We start from the raw sequence: 15,646 nt of genomic DNA on the forward strand, positions 1-15,646 counted from the left end.
AAATTTGCCATCAAATCCTTTGATTCTACTTTTGAATCATACTCTCCTTGACAATAATGCCTATCACATAGTAAGGATTAAATGAGCTAACACATGTAAAACATTTAGCGCAATGTTTGGCTGGGAATAAAAATAATTAAAAATAATATTCCTTGAGTTGGCCACTGTGGTAAGGTTATATTGCTTTTATCTCATCTAACAACTATAACAGTGTAGTCATTAAAATATTAGGTGCTACTATGAACTTCATCTTGCAGATGATAAAACTAAGGCAAAGAGGGGTTAACTAAAGTTACAAGTGCCAAGATTTGAAACCAGTTATTGGACTCCAGAGCTGTAGTGTATGCTGAATGTTAGCTATTATTAAAAATCATTATCTGTCAGATGAGCCACAGAAATAATAAAATTTCAAGAAAATTGCCAGATTATATACACAACACCCAAACACCCCAAATAATAGCTTTTCCACACAAGCACAGGGGTCTATGACAAAACGGAATTGAAAATCTATAAACTTAGACAATAAAAACATTAAATGACTAACAGGAAATATGCAATGCTTATAAGGAGAAGATTGTTAAGAAATGTTTCTGAACAACACGAAAGAGGTTTAGAAAGAAATGAGAGAAGAGCCAGGCTCCTAGATAAGGGGACTCAATACTGTCAGGTTAGTGCAAAAGTAACTGTGATTTTTGCCATAAAAGTCATGGCAAAAACTGCAATTGCTTTTGCACCAACCTAACACAAAGATGTCATTCTCCAAAAATTAAATGTAACCATAATTAGCTTCCCAACAGAAATTTTTATGAAACTTCACAACGGATTATTAAGTTTATTTTGAAGACAAAATGCACGATAGGCAAAAGCCTTTCAAAAATAGCAAAAACAAAGGAATCACTCTACCAATTAGAAAAAAAAAAAAACTTCTTACAGCTAGACTTTGGGTTTCTTGCAAGTATATCAGTAGAACAGCATAGAGTTACTGGAAATAAATCTATGTATGCTTGAGAATGCAGTGTATAAGAAAGGTTGTATTTCAATTCGGTAATAAAAATATGACTATTCCAATTATGGTATTGGGGACTATTGGTTTTTCAAAAGAAAGAAAGAAAGAAAGAAACAAGGAAGAGGAAAGGCGGGAAAGGGGGGAAGAGAAAAGGAGAGGAACAGGAGGAAGAGGGAGAAGGGCAAGAAAAGGAAGAGATAGAGGAAGAAAGGATCCTACCTAATACTATACATCAAACTCCAGAAAAGTTTTTACAAATCTCCCTCACGCTTTAACAATTACTTCTTTAAATTTTTTTGAACAACCAACAATTTCATAATACAAGTTTATGATATAAAACATAAAAAGCAGAAGTCAAAAAAAAGATTATTTCATAGCACCACAGACCATGAATCCCTACCCAAACCTAACCCATATCTCCAGAAACATATTAATGAAAGTCAAGCCCAGATAAACTAATGTGGATAGAGAAAAAGCAGACAGTACATAGAGAGTGCTAGAAAAAGCTCATAAGTATTGAGCACTGTGTACACCATTGGAAGTATTCTACAGGAGAGAAAGTGCAGCTAAGAACCACGGAATTAAAATCCAGGTCTGGTTGGCACAAATCATTTAGAAACACCTCAAAACCTCAGAAGAGACAGAACAGTCACAGTCTGCCTTTCCCTTTCCAACCACAATCTCTCTAGCAAAACAAACAGAAGAGCTAGACAGTAACTCATCAGGAATAATCAAACTAAGTAAGTGCTTCAATCATTAAAACTTCAGCATTATATAATTTTAATAAAACCAAACTCATAGACAGTAAAAAATCGTTATAAGATAAAAGAAGATTGTAGACCAAAGGAAAATTCTGAGATTCACTATTATACAAAAAAAAATATGAATTAGAGAGCGTAAGGGCAAAACTTATTTGAAAAAAAATAAATGAATGGAATCGTAGAAAAACTCTAGATGACAGTCACTTGTATTTAGAGGAATCATATAAAGAGTTAAAAATTATTCATGAAATTATGATAGCTGTGGGGAACAAAGATGACCTAACATAAGAATTATTGCTTTCTCTGAAGTAGAAGAAACCAACGAATAAAACTGAAAAGCTATTAAGTGGCAAAATAGGTAAAATTTCTCTGAAATGAAAAAAGTGAAATGGCAAAAATATAGCAGGCATCCAAGCAGAACATTCATGTCATCAAAAGGAGAAAAATACCAAGGTGCCCTTGGATTTCTTCCGGCAATATTCAGTGCTTGGACTTAATAGTGAAGTGTGTTCACAAATCTGAGGCAAGGAAGGCATGAACCATTAATAACACTCCCAGAAAAGCATAAAGGCAACAGTCAGACACCCGAAGCATGAATGATTTCAAGGATTAAAAAACCAACTAGCACTGTTACAGTTCTTTCAGAATCTGTCTAGCAAATTTTCTGGCTTTTCCAGGAAAATCCCCCATGCAGGTAAATAAAACAAATCAAAACTAGCAAACAAAACTAATTAAGAATACTAGGAGGGAAGGAATGATTGGACTAATGAACTGAGAAATGGAAAATCCATAATATAAAGAAGACCACAGACGATGAGTAACTGTAGCCATTTATATGTAGAATCAAGACCAAAGACCCGAGGCAGTTAAATTTGCAGAACTGAATGTAAATATTATGAATTCTGACAAAGTTAAAGTAATATAATTATCAACAAACTGGAAATGAAGAGAAGTGAGGACAAACTGGAGAGCAGCTAATCATCTCCAATCACACTGCAGGGAGTTAAGAAAAGCTGTCTGAAATTAAAACATGGAGCTAATGCATTCAGCTTCTTAATGGTATTTATAATCTTTTATTCTTAACCATAAAGACAAGTTTTATTTTAAAAAGTTCTTGTGGTGAAGAAATATTTAAGTTCAGCCATTTCCTAATTTATTTTTATTTTTTCGATTAAATTACATATATTAATTACAGTTCACATATGTATATATTTTATCCTTTTATTTGTGCAAATATATAATTATATACCGGTGATATGTTCATGAAATGTTAACAGTATTTTTTTTTCTGAGTGTAAAGACTTTGGAGTGGTTTGTGTTTCTTTAAAACTTGACTAAAGTGATTACTGATTAATGTAAAAGCATAAACTTTATCTGCATTAAAAATGTAAATATAATATGATAATGATAACCATGATAATACAATGATTATGAAAGCCTTCAGATATCTATGTATATGAATTAGCTAGTATGAAAGAAAGAAACCTAAATAGACCAGATTTGCCGTGTTACCTGAATGAAAGAGGTAAGGAGATTAGCATGTCATGTAATCAGGAAAGACATTTGCTGTGCTCGCCTGGCCCCATGGCTTTGTGACTGAATTCTTTTATTATTATAATTATTATTACTATTATTATTATATTATTATACTTTAAGTTCTAGGGTACAGGTGCACAATGTGCAAGTTTGTTACGTATGTATACAGCTTTTTGTCTGAATTCTATAAAGAATAATTGAACACACAAGGTGCAGAACTGGTGGAACCAAGAACTGGGTTAACATCACAGTGAAAGGGACATGATGGGAAAAGCAGAGCCTTATTCACACCTCTGCTAACACGGGCATCCTGAGAACTCAAGACTGATGTGCTTAACTGTGGAGTTACTGGAATTTGAATTATCTGGTAGTAGTTCCTCTGTCACCACTTCCAGTCTGTCATGTAGGAAGCTGGGATCAGTGGCAGTGGTGAGATACCACCTCACCTAAGAGTCCTTGAACAGGAAACAAACAAACCAAGAGGGCTGTTTAGTTCGTCTCAGATAAGAGGTTCTGAAGAACTACACGATGCAAATTTTGCTGGTTAGAAGTAGTTAAATGTATGTAATTTGACAACATGACTACCTTGGACTCGTGTAACCTTGGGAAACATACTCCAATTAAGTGTTTTAAAAAGTCTGAAGATTAGGTGTCCTAAATTCCCGATATTTGAAATGTTTTGGCCTAAAGTTGGACCAAGTGCCTTGAAAAGAGATGCAGAATGTTATCATCATTACCATTTATATAAACTAGCCCAGATTACACATCTTTTGTATTGTTCTTGTCTGAATAGTATTATATATTTAACTTCACAAATGTTCTATGAGTAATCTTCCCTGAGAATAATGTTAATTTTGAAAAATACATTGAATTCTAAGATATTTCCTGGATACACTATGATATGTTTTTCTGTTTACTTTTTTTGCTGGACTACTTGGGTTAACTTTTGAAAAGCCTGAAGAAGGGTGTGAATTGCTGAGGCTAATCATAGAACCTTAAAAGTCTGTAGATATTTAGCGATGGAGAGAGGGTGAGAGGAGCTTGTAAAGTTGGCCCAGCCCATAGTTGATTAGGTTAGGTGGCTAGATGTGTATTTATGGGTGACTGCATCTTCTGTTCAATAGACATCTCTTTATTATCTTTCCATGTGTAGGACTAAAGGCCTGTACAACCACAAAGTAATTTTAAATAAGAAAATTCTGTATGTCAGAGTGAAATACTGGCTAAATTTAAAGAGAGCAACAGCATGGCATTAATAGAGGTTAAACATACACAACCACACACAGAAATCAAAATTATTCTACCCAGCATTTTTTTTCTCTCAGCTTCACTGAATCTTCCAAAGTGCCTTTTAGATTTTCTAATAGATTTCCTTACCTTAGAACTACACGAACTTTGGAATTTTATCATAAAATTGTTGACTATATGAAAATCCGTGAAAAGATTGAAATGTTTAACAGAATTTTTAAAATTAAAAACATCATTTCTGCTTTCATTATTGAAATGTTTGTGTTCTTCCTTAACCTAAGAGTTAAGCACTTTGATAACTTTCTACCAAACTCACTTAATAATGAACAAACTAAGGCTAAGAGAAATTGTGGCTGGCTTTATAGAAGTAAATAGTAAATGACATTCATGGACAAGTGAATCATAATGTGAGAGGTGCTTATAAAATACATTTTTCTCTTTATTTTAAATATTTATCCAACTTTTAGGTTCATAAAATAGTTCAGCCACTGTGGAAGGCAGTCTGGAGATTTCGTTCATGTTTATTTTTGAAGTGTATGTGCAGAGAATTTTCCAAGAAGTGTATGAGTCCACTCCTATTTCTGTTCTTGCACCAGATTTCCTGTCTGGCTACCAATGTGCCTGCCCATGCTTCCTAGTTATAGGGAGACAAACAATAATGAAGGAAGACACAGGAAGGACCAGCATCAGGGCTGGGATATGAAGCGGAGCATATATTCTTCAGTCAATACAGTAGGTTTTGGAAATGCTTGTGAACATGGAGTTAGCTTTCTCGGGGATGGAAACTAGGAAGCGCAAGTGGCTCCACCTCACACGTTAATGCTATAATGTTAGTGGACTCCATCCTCTATGGTCCATAGGTGGAATCCACACATACTCCTGTTTCTCAAGAGAATCCTAATTTGACACCTGTTGTTATGCTCTCAGAAATGTCCTGGCTGAGAAGATAAATTCTACAACCTGCCTGCTGGTAGAGGGTTTCACAATCATTAAAATTTTGTTCCCACGTAGCGACTACAAATGAACCTAAGTGACTTTAGAGATAAATCATTTCTGCTGTCCCTGGACTTATCAGTAAGGAGGCATTTTCAGAGAAGTTTTGGCCTATGCTTAGTTTCACTTGCTTCCTATGTTTAGCAGTTTCTTGATTTCCATGTATAAGTTTTCATTCCTTCAAATACTGCATTATTTAATAGTGCCAAACACAAGGACTCAGTAAATAACTGTCAAAGATGGTGACTATCAATGAAAGTAAGACACTAACATGTGTAACCAGGCTTTTTGTTTCCGCTTTTCACAAAAACAAAATAAAGCAAAAGAACTAAACTTTTCATTTTAAATTTAATTCTTTTTAAAAGTTTAATTATGTAAGGTCAGGTATTCATACATCTGTCTACTGTGTTACTTGTCTGAACGATACCCAGAAACTAAAGGAGTACCAAAATAAAATTTCTAGTACCAGAGTAGAGTCAATACAGTATATTAGAAGCTGTATCAGTTTGCATATTTTAAAAAAGAAATTTAAAGTTAATATCCTAATTAAATGTTTTATGAGAAGCAATCCTTTGTTCTGTTTTCATTTTCATACTTAAGGAAAAATAACTTTAATACAAATTATTTAAATTATGGCTCACTATGCAACCCATTTGCTAATCTTCTACATTGATTAAAATATTAAAACATTATTTTAGCCTAAAATAGACTTTCACATTTATGAAAAAAGTATAACCTTTTTTCCCACTTTTATATAACACAATTTCCATTACTTCTCTCTTAATAAACTTATTTCCACAAATACACATGGAAGAAAAATATCTCAGGGGGAATGTAATAGATATGAAAAATTCTAGTAAGTTTTTGATATATCCAAGAATATTTACTGCCTTCTGAGAGGTAATGTACATAAGCCAAAATGAACAAAATCTAAGCTACAATCTTAATTTTTAGCATGCTTCTAAGAGATAAAACACAGGTAGCACATGTGAACACACTCATATTTGAAGGATAAATATTCTCGCTTGTTTTACATCACGTACATCCAGAAATTAATTTCTACATTAAAATTCTTTGTCATTTCTTTTAGAAAATGCATGTCTATTAATGCTGATCAGATACATAGTATGTTGACTTAAAATCATTAATTCAAATCAGTGCCTTTTTGAAAAAATTATTCAAGACATATCAAATGCCCCCTTGGGATTTACTGTAACTTTATATTTTAATTTCCAGTGAAAATAGAGAGGCACATTTTATAGAGTAGAAAAGCTACACTGCAGGTTAGTTCAAAATGGTTCTCTAAGATTTGTCGGGTTGAAACTAACCTCCACTGATTTTCAATGATGTTATCATTTTGATTTCTAAACATAGGTGTTTAGCTTAAGGAAACTAAACACATGCTGAAGAGATAAGGGGATTCTACCCTGCTATTTCAAGCTAAAACATAACCTCTAAATTATCTTTTAGAGTAAGCCAAAGCCAGTATCACATACCTTTCGAGAATGAATTTCTTTCACATACAATGGAAGTAGAAACTCAGATATACCTTCAAGTCGGATTCCCTTCTTGGTGACTCTCAGATTTCCCATACCATCCTACAAGCAATGAAATATAGTTCACTTTTAGGTTAATTGGAGAATGAATATCTGGCCATAATTTTCTTAGGCCTAAATTGAGAAAACAGTGAGCTCAAATCAGTGATGATTTAAGGAAAATGAGAGATTGAATCTACTTAATTAATGTTTGCAGCCCTTTGCATGCATATAGAGGGCTCTATTTAAAATGAACAGGAAAAGAGGATTTAAAGGACTGTGTCTTCTTCGAGCTCTACCAGGGACTAGGATTTGCCCACGAATAAATCCTTTACTTTCTTCATGCATCAGTCAGTTCAACTATTTATTTTGTATAATGATGCTTGCTACCTGACTGTTGGAAATAACTTTGTTTGCAGAGAAATCTAGTAATATTTTTACATTACAGTTATACAAATAACTCTAAAATATTCAGAGTCACATTGATACAATAATTTTAACAAGTAATTAATGATTGTCTGATATTAGTAACCATGATGTTCCAGTGTTCAAACCATGAGTAGGTGTCTGTCAGATCCTTTAGAAAAGAGCAGTTTTTGAGAAGGATAAAACAGGTACACAAATAATGCTCATGAGACAGAATAAAATTACTAAACAGAGTGCTACTGGGAATTAAAGAAAGGAGGTTTTATATCTGATAAGATAGTAAACCATTTCTCATGGAAGAGATTGACTACGATAAAGTTGTTAAGAATGTGGAATTTCAACAGGGAAGGTCCCTGGAGGGTGGAACAAAATAAACATTCTGGCAACATTTAGATAACAGCATCTGATCTCACTAATGTATGAGATTTCTATTTTTGAATATTGGGAGAGAAAGCAATGGAGAGTACATTTTGGAGCCGGAGAAAGGAAAGCCATACATATAATTTAAGGAGAATGTACTTAAGTCAGATTCCAAAAGAAGACACTATAAAGGTTCTTACATAGTTCAATAGCTTGAAATGATTGGAGGCAGGCTTCAAGAAGATTAATCTGGCAGAAGTACTGTTTAGGGCTAACTGATACAGTATTACTAATAATGCATAATTGCGTAGTAGTTTGAGGAATATGGTGGAAGAAAAATTTACAGACTTGTTGACTAATTTTATGTATAGACACAGAAAGGAAGAACTTTCAAGATTCATCCAAGGTTTCACAACTAAGCATGAATAAGAAAATATAGTGACTTTAAAAACTGAAATAGTAAAATTTGTAGGCTCAATCCCAAAGCAAATTTAGCTTTTCACTTTCTAACATTATATCTCCATTGTAAAATTGGTTATATATATATAAAATCATATATAATAGATTATATATAATCATAATCATATATAATAGATATATAATCAAAATCATATATAATAGATTATATATAATCATAATCATATATAATAGATCATATATAATCACATATAGTTGATTATATATAATATATAGTTGATCATGTATATAATCACATATAATCAATGATATATAATCATATTTTAATTATAGGACAATACATAATCATATATAATTATATATACATATCTGTATACACACACACACACACACACACACACACATATATATATATATATATATATATATATATATATATATATATATATCAACCAGCACATCCACAGAAAGGGATGAGGACGTGGGCCCGGCGCGGTGGCTCATGCCTGTAAAATCCCAGTACTTCGGAACGTAGAGGCGGGCGGATCACGACGTCAGGAGATCAAGACCATTCTGGCTAACACGGTGAAACCCTGTCTCTACTAAAAATACAAAAAATTAGCCGGGCTTGGTGGCGGGCGCCTGTAGTCCCAGGTACTCGGAAGGCTGAGGCAGGAGAATGGCACGAACCCGGGAGGCGGAGCCACAAATGAGCCGAGATCGCTCCACTGAACTCCAGCCTGGGCGAAAGAGTGAGACTCCGTCTCAAAAAAAAAAAAAAAAAAAGATGAGGACGTGTCAAGAAATACTTGAATCTGTCACTATGGATAAGCAAGCCCAACGTAGACAGATGTTTATAAAACCAAGGATAAATTCTTGGATGATGTCAATGGGTTGGGAAAATATCTTTTATGTGTTCAGGGATGTTGTGATCAGTATCAGACGAAAGTTGAGGGAATATAATGGCCTAACCCCTCCAAAAGAGAAAGCCATTGAGGTAGAATTATATAACATTATGATATCAGCAACAGAAAATACGTTATAGAAAAATTTTGAAGAGAGAAAAAAACGAATAGGATTTAACTAAGAATTGAAGGACTCTTTAAATTTTTTAAAAAGCCAGACTAAAGGATAATGACCACAGAGTAAGAGGGACATTTGGAGGTGACGAGGTCTGGATTGCCCCATAGAAGGAGAAAGTAAGAGATTTGGGTTAAATTAAAATTAGGATGAGAGTGAAGAAATTTGTTCCTTGAGGCAAGTGAAAATGTCAAAACTGATGCTGGAAATGCCTTACAGGAAACCAACCCAAAATGAATGAACGATTTCAAGTGGAATTAAAGAGTTATTCAGATGAGAAAATACATACATTTCTGTTAGGATGATAATACATCCTGGTTTCTCTGAGAAAGGGCTGATTTACACCAGTTTTATAGTATCCTCTTACATTTTCAAAAATAAAAAGTGGCTCAGATTTAGACATTCAATTACATTACCACCCACTTACTGGCTCTAATAAGTGTGGTTTTGCAGCACTGTAGTTATTTAAGAACAGAAACAGAATTGACAGTGAGAGAAACTCAAAAGTGAGGATTTGCTAGACAGGAATGACAGAAAGTCATAAAGATGTGGTATTCTTAAAGTGGCAAAAAAAAATAGATGTTTTCAAATGACTAACCATTATTTTTCTCATTGAAGCATGACAAGGAAAGTCAGAAGTGGGGTTGGGTTACCAAAATAGTGCATAGTCAAAGAATGGCAAATGGTGATAAACTAATGATGAAGGTCAATGGATGTTAAGAAATATGGCAATTATAATATGAAGACAGGTTTATCACCAGAAAGAGTAATTTTGGATTTGGAGATCTTGAAGTTCAGAGCATTTTCAGGCATGATAAGACTTACAGAACACCCCAGGGGTGGAGGTAGATTTAAGAAGACAGAGAATTATCTGGTATTCAGGAAACCAAGAGTATTAATTAGAACCTATAACATGACATGGGGCTTTAAAACACTATTTTGTATAAATGGAATTTTCTGGACTAAATTTCACACAGTGACTGTCCATATATATTCTTAAATGCCTGCTGGGAGAAAATGTTCTGAAGTGCGCTCCTTGGAGTTGTTACAGAAATACCTAATTTCACTGGGAGACTATTTCAGAGCAATGGAAACTAGTTCTAACACAATTGTAATTCCCATTTCAATATTAATACTAAAAAATGTTCTGATGAGATGGCTGGAAATAAGAGGACTGGGCATCCACAGTTAAGTGTGTTATTACTTATGCTATGTGCATCTTTGATTTTGGAGTTTTCAGTCTTGAGCTTCGTGTGTTTTCTTCTTATATTTTCTACTTAATATATGATTTCAGATATACCATCACATTTCATTTAAATTAGATAAAACAGAATTCCCCTCTGTAAATGTAGGACTGTTTTTGCTTGTTTGTTTTGAGATGGAGTCTCGCTCTTTCGCCAGGCTGGAGTGCAGCGGCGCAATCTTGGCTCACTGCAACCTCCACCTCCCAGGTTCAAGTGATTCTCCTGCCTCAGCCTCCTGAGTAGCAGGGACTACAGGTGTGCACTGCCACGCCCAGATAACTTTTGTACTTTTAGTAGAGACAGGGTTTCACCATGCTGGACAAGGACTGCTCTTATAACACCGTGTTGTAAATCTAATCGCACTTCACTGTGTCTATTTCTCCCTTTCTTTTTCCTGTCTTGTATGAAAAAACGAATTTTCAAGGTTTTCCATATTACCTAGATGAAATGATAAAATGTATAAAGCTGTATAACATATATTCCATATATAATCAACCTGACTCTCACACTCAGGCATTAAGTCCAGTAACTATTTATGAGTTGATGAAATTTGCTTTTCCTTCTGCAAGAGCATTATAAATTAAATTTATTTTTAGTGTCTGATGATTTTCCTGATCCCTTCATTATCTGAAAGGGAGAAAATGATTTGTTAATTTTCTGTTCAGGAAGACATTGTTACCAGAAGGTAACAGACTCTAATGTACTACACCTAGACCTTGTCTTGGTTCTGCCACTTCTTCCCTTTGTTAAGTGCCAATCACTTAACTAATCACTTTGTGTCTTAATTTTATCATCTGTAAATGGAATGGTAACATAAGTTATGTGTCTATGATAAAGATTACATGAGGATGTAGAAAGCTTAAAATAGTGCCTAATTTATGTCAAACTACTCAATAGTTTTAACTATTATTAACATTTTACTTAAATTTTTAGTTTTTGTCTTATAAAAACTCATGTTATTTTAAGAGAAACTATCTTTGAACTTCAGTATAATCTACACCAAATTTCATATCATTATAGTTATGATACTCTTGTTCATCATTGCTATGGTTCAAATGTGTCCCCTCTAAAATTTAGGTGTTGAAACTTAAGGGCCAATGTGATAGTATTAAGAGGTGGAGGCTTTAAGACATTATTAGGCCAGGAGGGCTCCTCCCTTGTGAATGGAACTAAGGCCCTTATAAAAGAGGTAAATGAAGCTTCACGCAGTGTTTCGACCTCTTGCTCTTCTGCCTTCCCCCAGGTAGGATACAGAGCATTCCTTCCCTCTGGAGGACACAGCAACACTGTGCCAACTTGGAAGCAAACAGCAGCCTTCATCAGACAACACAACCTGCTAGTGCCTTGATCTTGGACTTCCCAGCCTTCAAAACTGTAAGAAAATATTTTCTGCGTTTTTTTTTCTTCTAAATTACCTAGTCTCCAGTATTTTGTTATAGTAGCAAAAACTGACTAGGGCACATGTGATTTACCTATTGTTCACAGACAGTATAGTGTCATTTTAGAAGGGGATATGAAATCAGACATTTAGGGTTTGAAACTTGACTTTTTTATTTATTAACTGTTGACTTTGACATGTTGTCTATCTAAACCCAAATGTGTATTTTATAAACATCAGACAAATAACAGTATTCCTCACAGGGATGTTGTATTAATTTAATGAGACACTATGTAAGTGAATTACTATTGGACCTGGTATATTTTTAATAGTTATTCCCTTTACTTGTGGGTTATTGAAAATTAATATTTTAAAAAGTAGATTGTCTAATCAACACATTTAAAAAATATCAACTTCTCTTATTTTTATTTCTTCTTTTTCATTTCCAATGACACTATGACAGTTCAAGATCACTTTATCTCCAGCTTGGAGATTGCCACCTAACCACTGTTTATATTGTTATTTTATTATTTTAGTATTATGCTTGCTCAAAAGCCCAAAGTGTCACCTTAGCCTCTGGGTATAGATCTGTGTCCTCCATTTTGAATATTTACTATGCTTTCTAAATAATCCACTGTGATCATCATATTCTTGTTTAGGGGAAATATTATAAAACAGACTCTTCCAGTGTGCCCCAACCCCCTCCTTTAGAATGAATTTCTAGATTTGCTAAGTGTCTCCTCCAATCCTGTTTGTTTTTAGCTGTTTGTTGGTGTTGGTATTTGTTTTTTGTTTTGGTTTGTTTGTATTTGCTTTTTTTTCATCATCACTCAACTTATACTTCCACTAAACTGTACTGCCAGCAGTTTTTTGTTTGTTTTTCAGAACAGCTCCACGTTTTGCCATCAAAATTTCTTGATCCATGCATTCTAGCTGCTTGAGATAATCTTCACTGCCATTTCCTTTTAATGCTCTTACCGTATTCCAAAGAATTACCTGTCCAAAGAAGGCCATGATTAATATCCTAGTCAGAAATAACATTGTTTTCTACTTTATATTTAGAAAATGCTCTATTAGTATTTCTTATAAAATGTATCATATTCTGATTCTAATTTTAGTTAACTGTGTATACATTTTTACCTCTTCTTTAAAAGTTTATGATCAATCTTATTTATCTTCATGTTCATTTCTTCATCTTACATAATCCTTCCAACAGTGGATATGAAGTATGTGGTTAGTAAAATGCTTGATTGTTGAATTGAATAGAATTTACCTCTTTACTTAAATAACAAAAACTCCAAAACTAAATTAATATGCTTGTGAAGATCACAATTACTAAAATTTATAGAATTTGTCTTTAAAAACTGAAAGTAATCTTTAGCATAATTTTCTTTTTTTTGACAAAGTAGAGGATTATTTGTTAAGAAATACTTATTGGAATTTCTTATAAGAGACCGAATGAAAAAATAATATTCTCTTTGTTGACATTCAAACCTACGATTTAAGAATATTTAAATTTAAATTTAAAGTGACTGTTTAAATTTTAAATTTAAATTTAAAATGACTGTTTAAATTTAAATTTAAAATGACATTTGAAATTTAAAATCCACAGCCAGAACTTTGCAATGATCTCATGGTAATTCACTCCCTCCTCTTGAGTTACCTGAAATTAGAGGTTAAATAAATGTTTTCTACTCCAAAGATTTAAGATACTGCTTACCAGAGAAATGTAATGGCCATAGTGCTGAGCATTTTGGCATGAAATTAAGAAAATATTTTAAAATAGATGTATCGATTAAAAATAGAGAAAATCTGATGAATGATTTATCACTAAAAAAGCTTTTCAAACAAAATTGAAGGACTCCAAGAGCTGCAAGAGAAGCAAATATACATTTTAGACATCTTTTCTGGATAAAACCAAAAATCCCCTTTCAAATTACCAGTATTACACATTTCAAAACAAATTCAATAGGAAGGAAGGTAGATACATGTGTTTTTATTATTTTGAATATCTAAAGATATTATTTATTATATATTTAAATTTGTATGAGGAAAAAATCTTAAAGACACAGTTTCGAGACAACTTGGAGTTTGGTATGACAAATATTTGTAAGACATTAAGAATTAAATATTTTCAATAAAATAAAAGGAATACATAAAGAATGGAAATATTAAATTGTTTCAATGAAATTAAAAACCATATTTAAACTTCATTTTGCTATTAATTTTTAAATCTATGTTACATCAGTAAGAAAAAATTAACTTCAACTTCTAATTAAAGAGGAGGAGGTTCTCTTTAATATACCTAAGCAAAGCATGTGGTTTATGCTGTGTTTTTTAATACTTTATACTGAGCTGTTTTTCCCCAAGCATAAAAGAAAAAACAAACAAAACATAAGTTGATGGCCTGCTTTATATGTGTGTTTTACAATGTTGTTTGCTGTAAGCTTGTATTTTATTTTCATTTTAATTGGCCTCCCTGTATTCCTGCATATTATCAGGAAATAAACTCTATAGTGGTAACAATTGACAGACCTAGGAATTTGACCTCTAATTCAACTTGTACGGAAACATTTTTATAGATTGCTGTTAATAATATAACTTTTACCATCCTGAATATGATTTATCACCTTTGTTCTTTGCCAATAGTTGTTCAAATTTCATAATTTATGTACCTTCAGTTGTCAGGGTTATAAAAGAAAGTTTTTAATATACTTTTGTATTAAATATAATATTAAATATTGTATTTTGTTTCTCTTAAGTGCACTGGTGTTCCTTTAGATATGCAAATGCTTTTTTAAAAGCATGATAAAAAAATTTTCATTTGTTTTCCAAAATTTTCTCTACTGATAATACAGGAAATATGTATCAGGGAAATATGTATTCATACTTATGAAAAGACACACATATATAATACATTTATACAATACATGTAATATATTTATGAATAAATATAAATACATATTTCCCTTATACATATCCTTATTCTAAGTATTACCCAAATACATATTTTTATTTTAACTATCCACATATCACTAGCCTCAAAGAACATATATAATTGCTCCACAAAAAAATGCAGGATGAAAAATTAAAAATAAAAATATGATGACCGTGCACAGTGGCTCACGCCTGTAATCCCAGTACTTTGGGAGGCCGAAGCGGGCGGATCACGAGTTCAGGAGATCGAGACCATCCTGGCTAACACGGTGAAACCCCGTCTCTACTAAAAATAAAATACAAAAAAATTAGTCGGGCGTGGTGGTGGGTGCCTGTAGTCCCAGCTACTCAGGAGGTTGGGGCAGGAGAATGGTGTGAACCCGGGAGGCGGAGCTTGCGGTGAGCCGAGATCGCGCCACTGCACTCCAGCCTGGGCGACAGAGAGAGACTCTGTCTCAAAAAAATAAAATAAAATAAAATAAAAAATAAAAATATGTTAATTTGACAAAATGGATAGGATCATAGTGGCCTATGATGGAGTAAAAACGGACGCACTTAATAAATCCAGTGAGGCTGGTCTGAAGGTAGTGAGTTATCTCAATTGATTGTTCACAGTCAGCTACAGATCAAAATCCTTCTACTCTTTTCCCCTTCTCACTACGGTACTTGAATAGCCTTACATAAATAAATGAATAAATCCAATGAGACTACAAATAAGGAACCAC

The 15,646-nt window shown here is 33.2% G+C and overlaps 1 protein-coding gene and 1 pseudogene across 4 annotated transcripts in view; one reads left to right on the forward strand and one right to left on the reverse strand.

Annotated features, from left to right (window-relative positions):
- Positions 1-15,646, reverse strand: part of SGCZ (sarcoglycan zeta) — a 1,153,587-nt gene that overhangs the window by 232,218 nt on the left and 905,723 nt on the right. For 3 of the 4 annotated variants that reach the window (NM_001322881.2, NM_001322880.2, NM_139167.4), the window contains exon 3: positions 7,041-7,142. The exons of the other annotated variant lie outside the window; for it this stretch is intronic. In NM_001322881.2, the coding sequence (NP_001309810.1) occupies positions 7,041-7,142 (102 nt within the window). The remainder of the gene's footprint in view (positions 1-7,040; positions 7,143-15,646) is intronic. 4 annotated transcript variants of the gene reach the window in all.
- Positions 2,393-2,454, forward strand: RNU7-153P (RNA, U7 small nuclear 153 pseudogene; annotated as a pseudogene).

Source organism: Homo sapiens, chromosome 8 (genome assembly GCF_000001405.40).
Source record: "Homo sapiens chromosome 8, GRCh38.p14 Primary Assembly".
NCBI classification, from domain to species: Eukaryota; Metazoa; Chordata; class Mammalia; order Primates; family Hominidae; genus Homo; species Homo sapiens.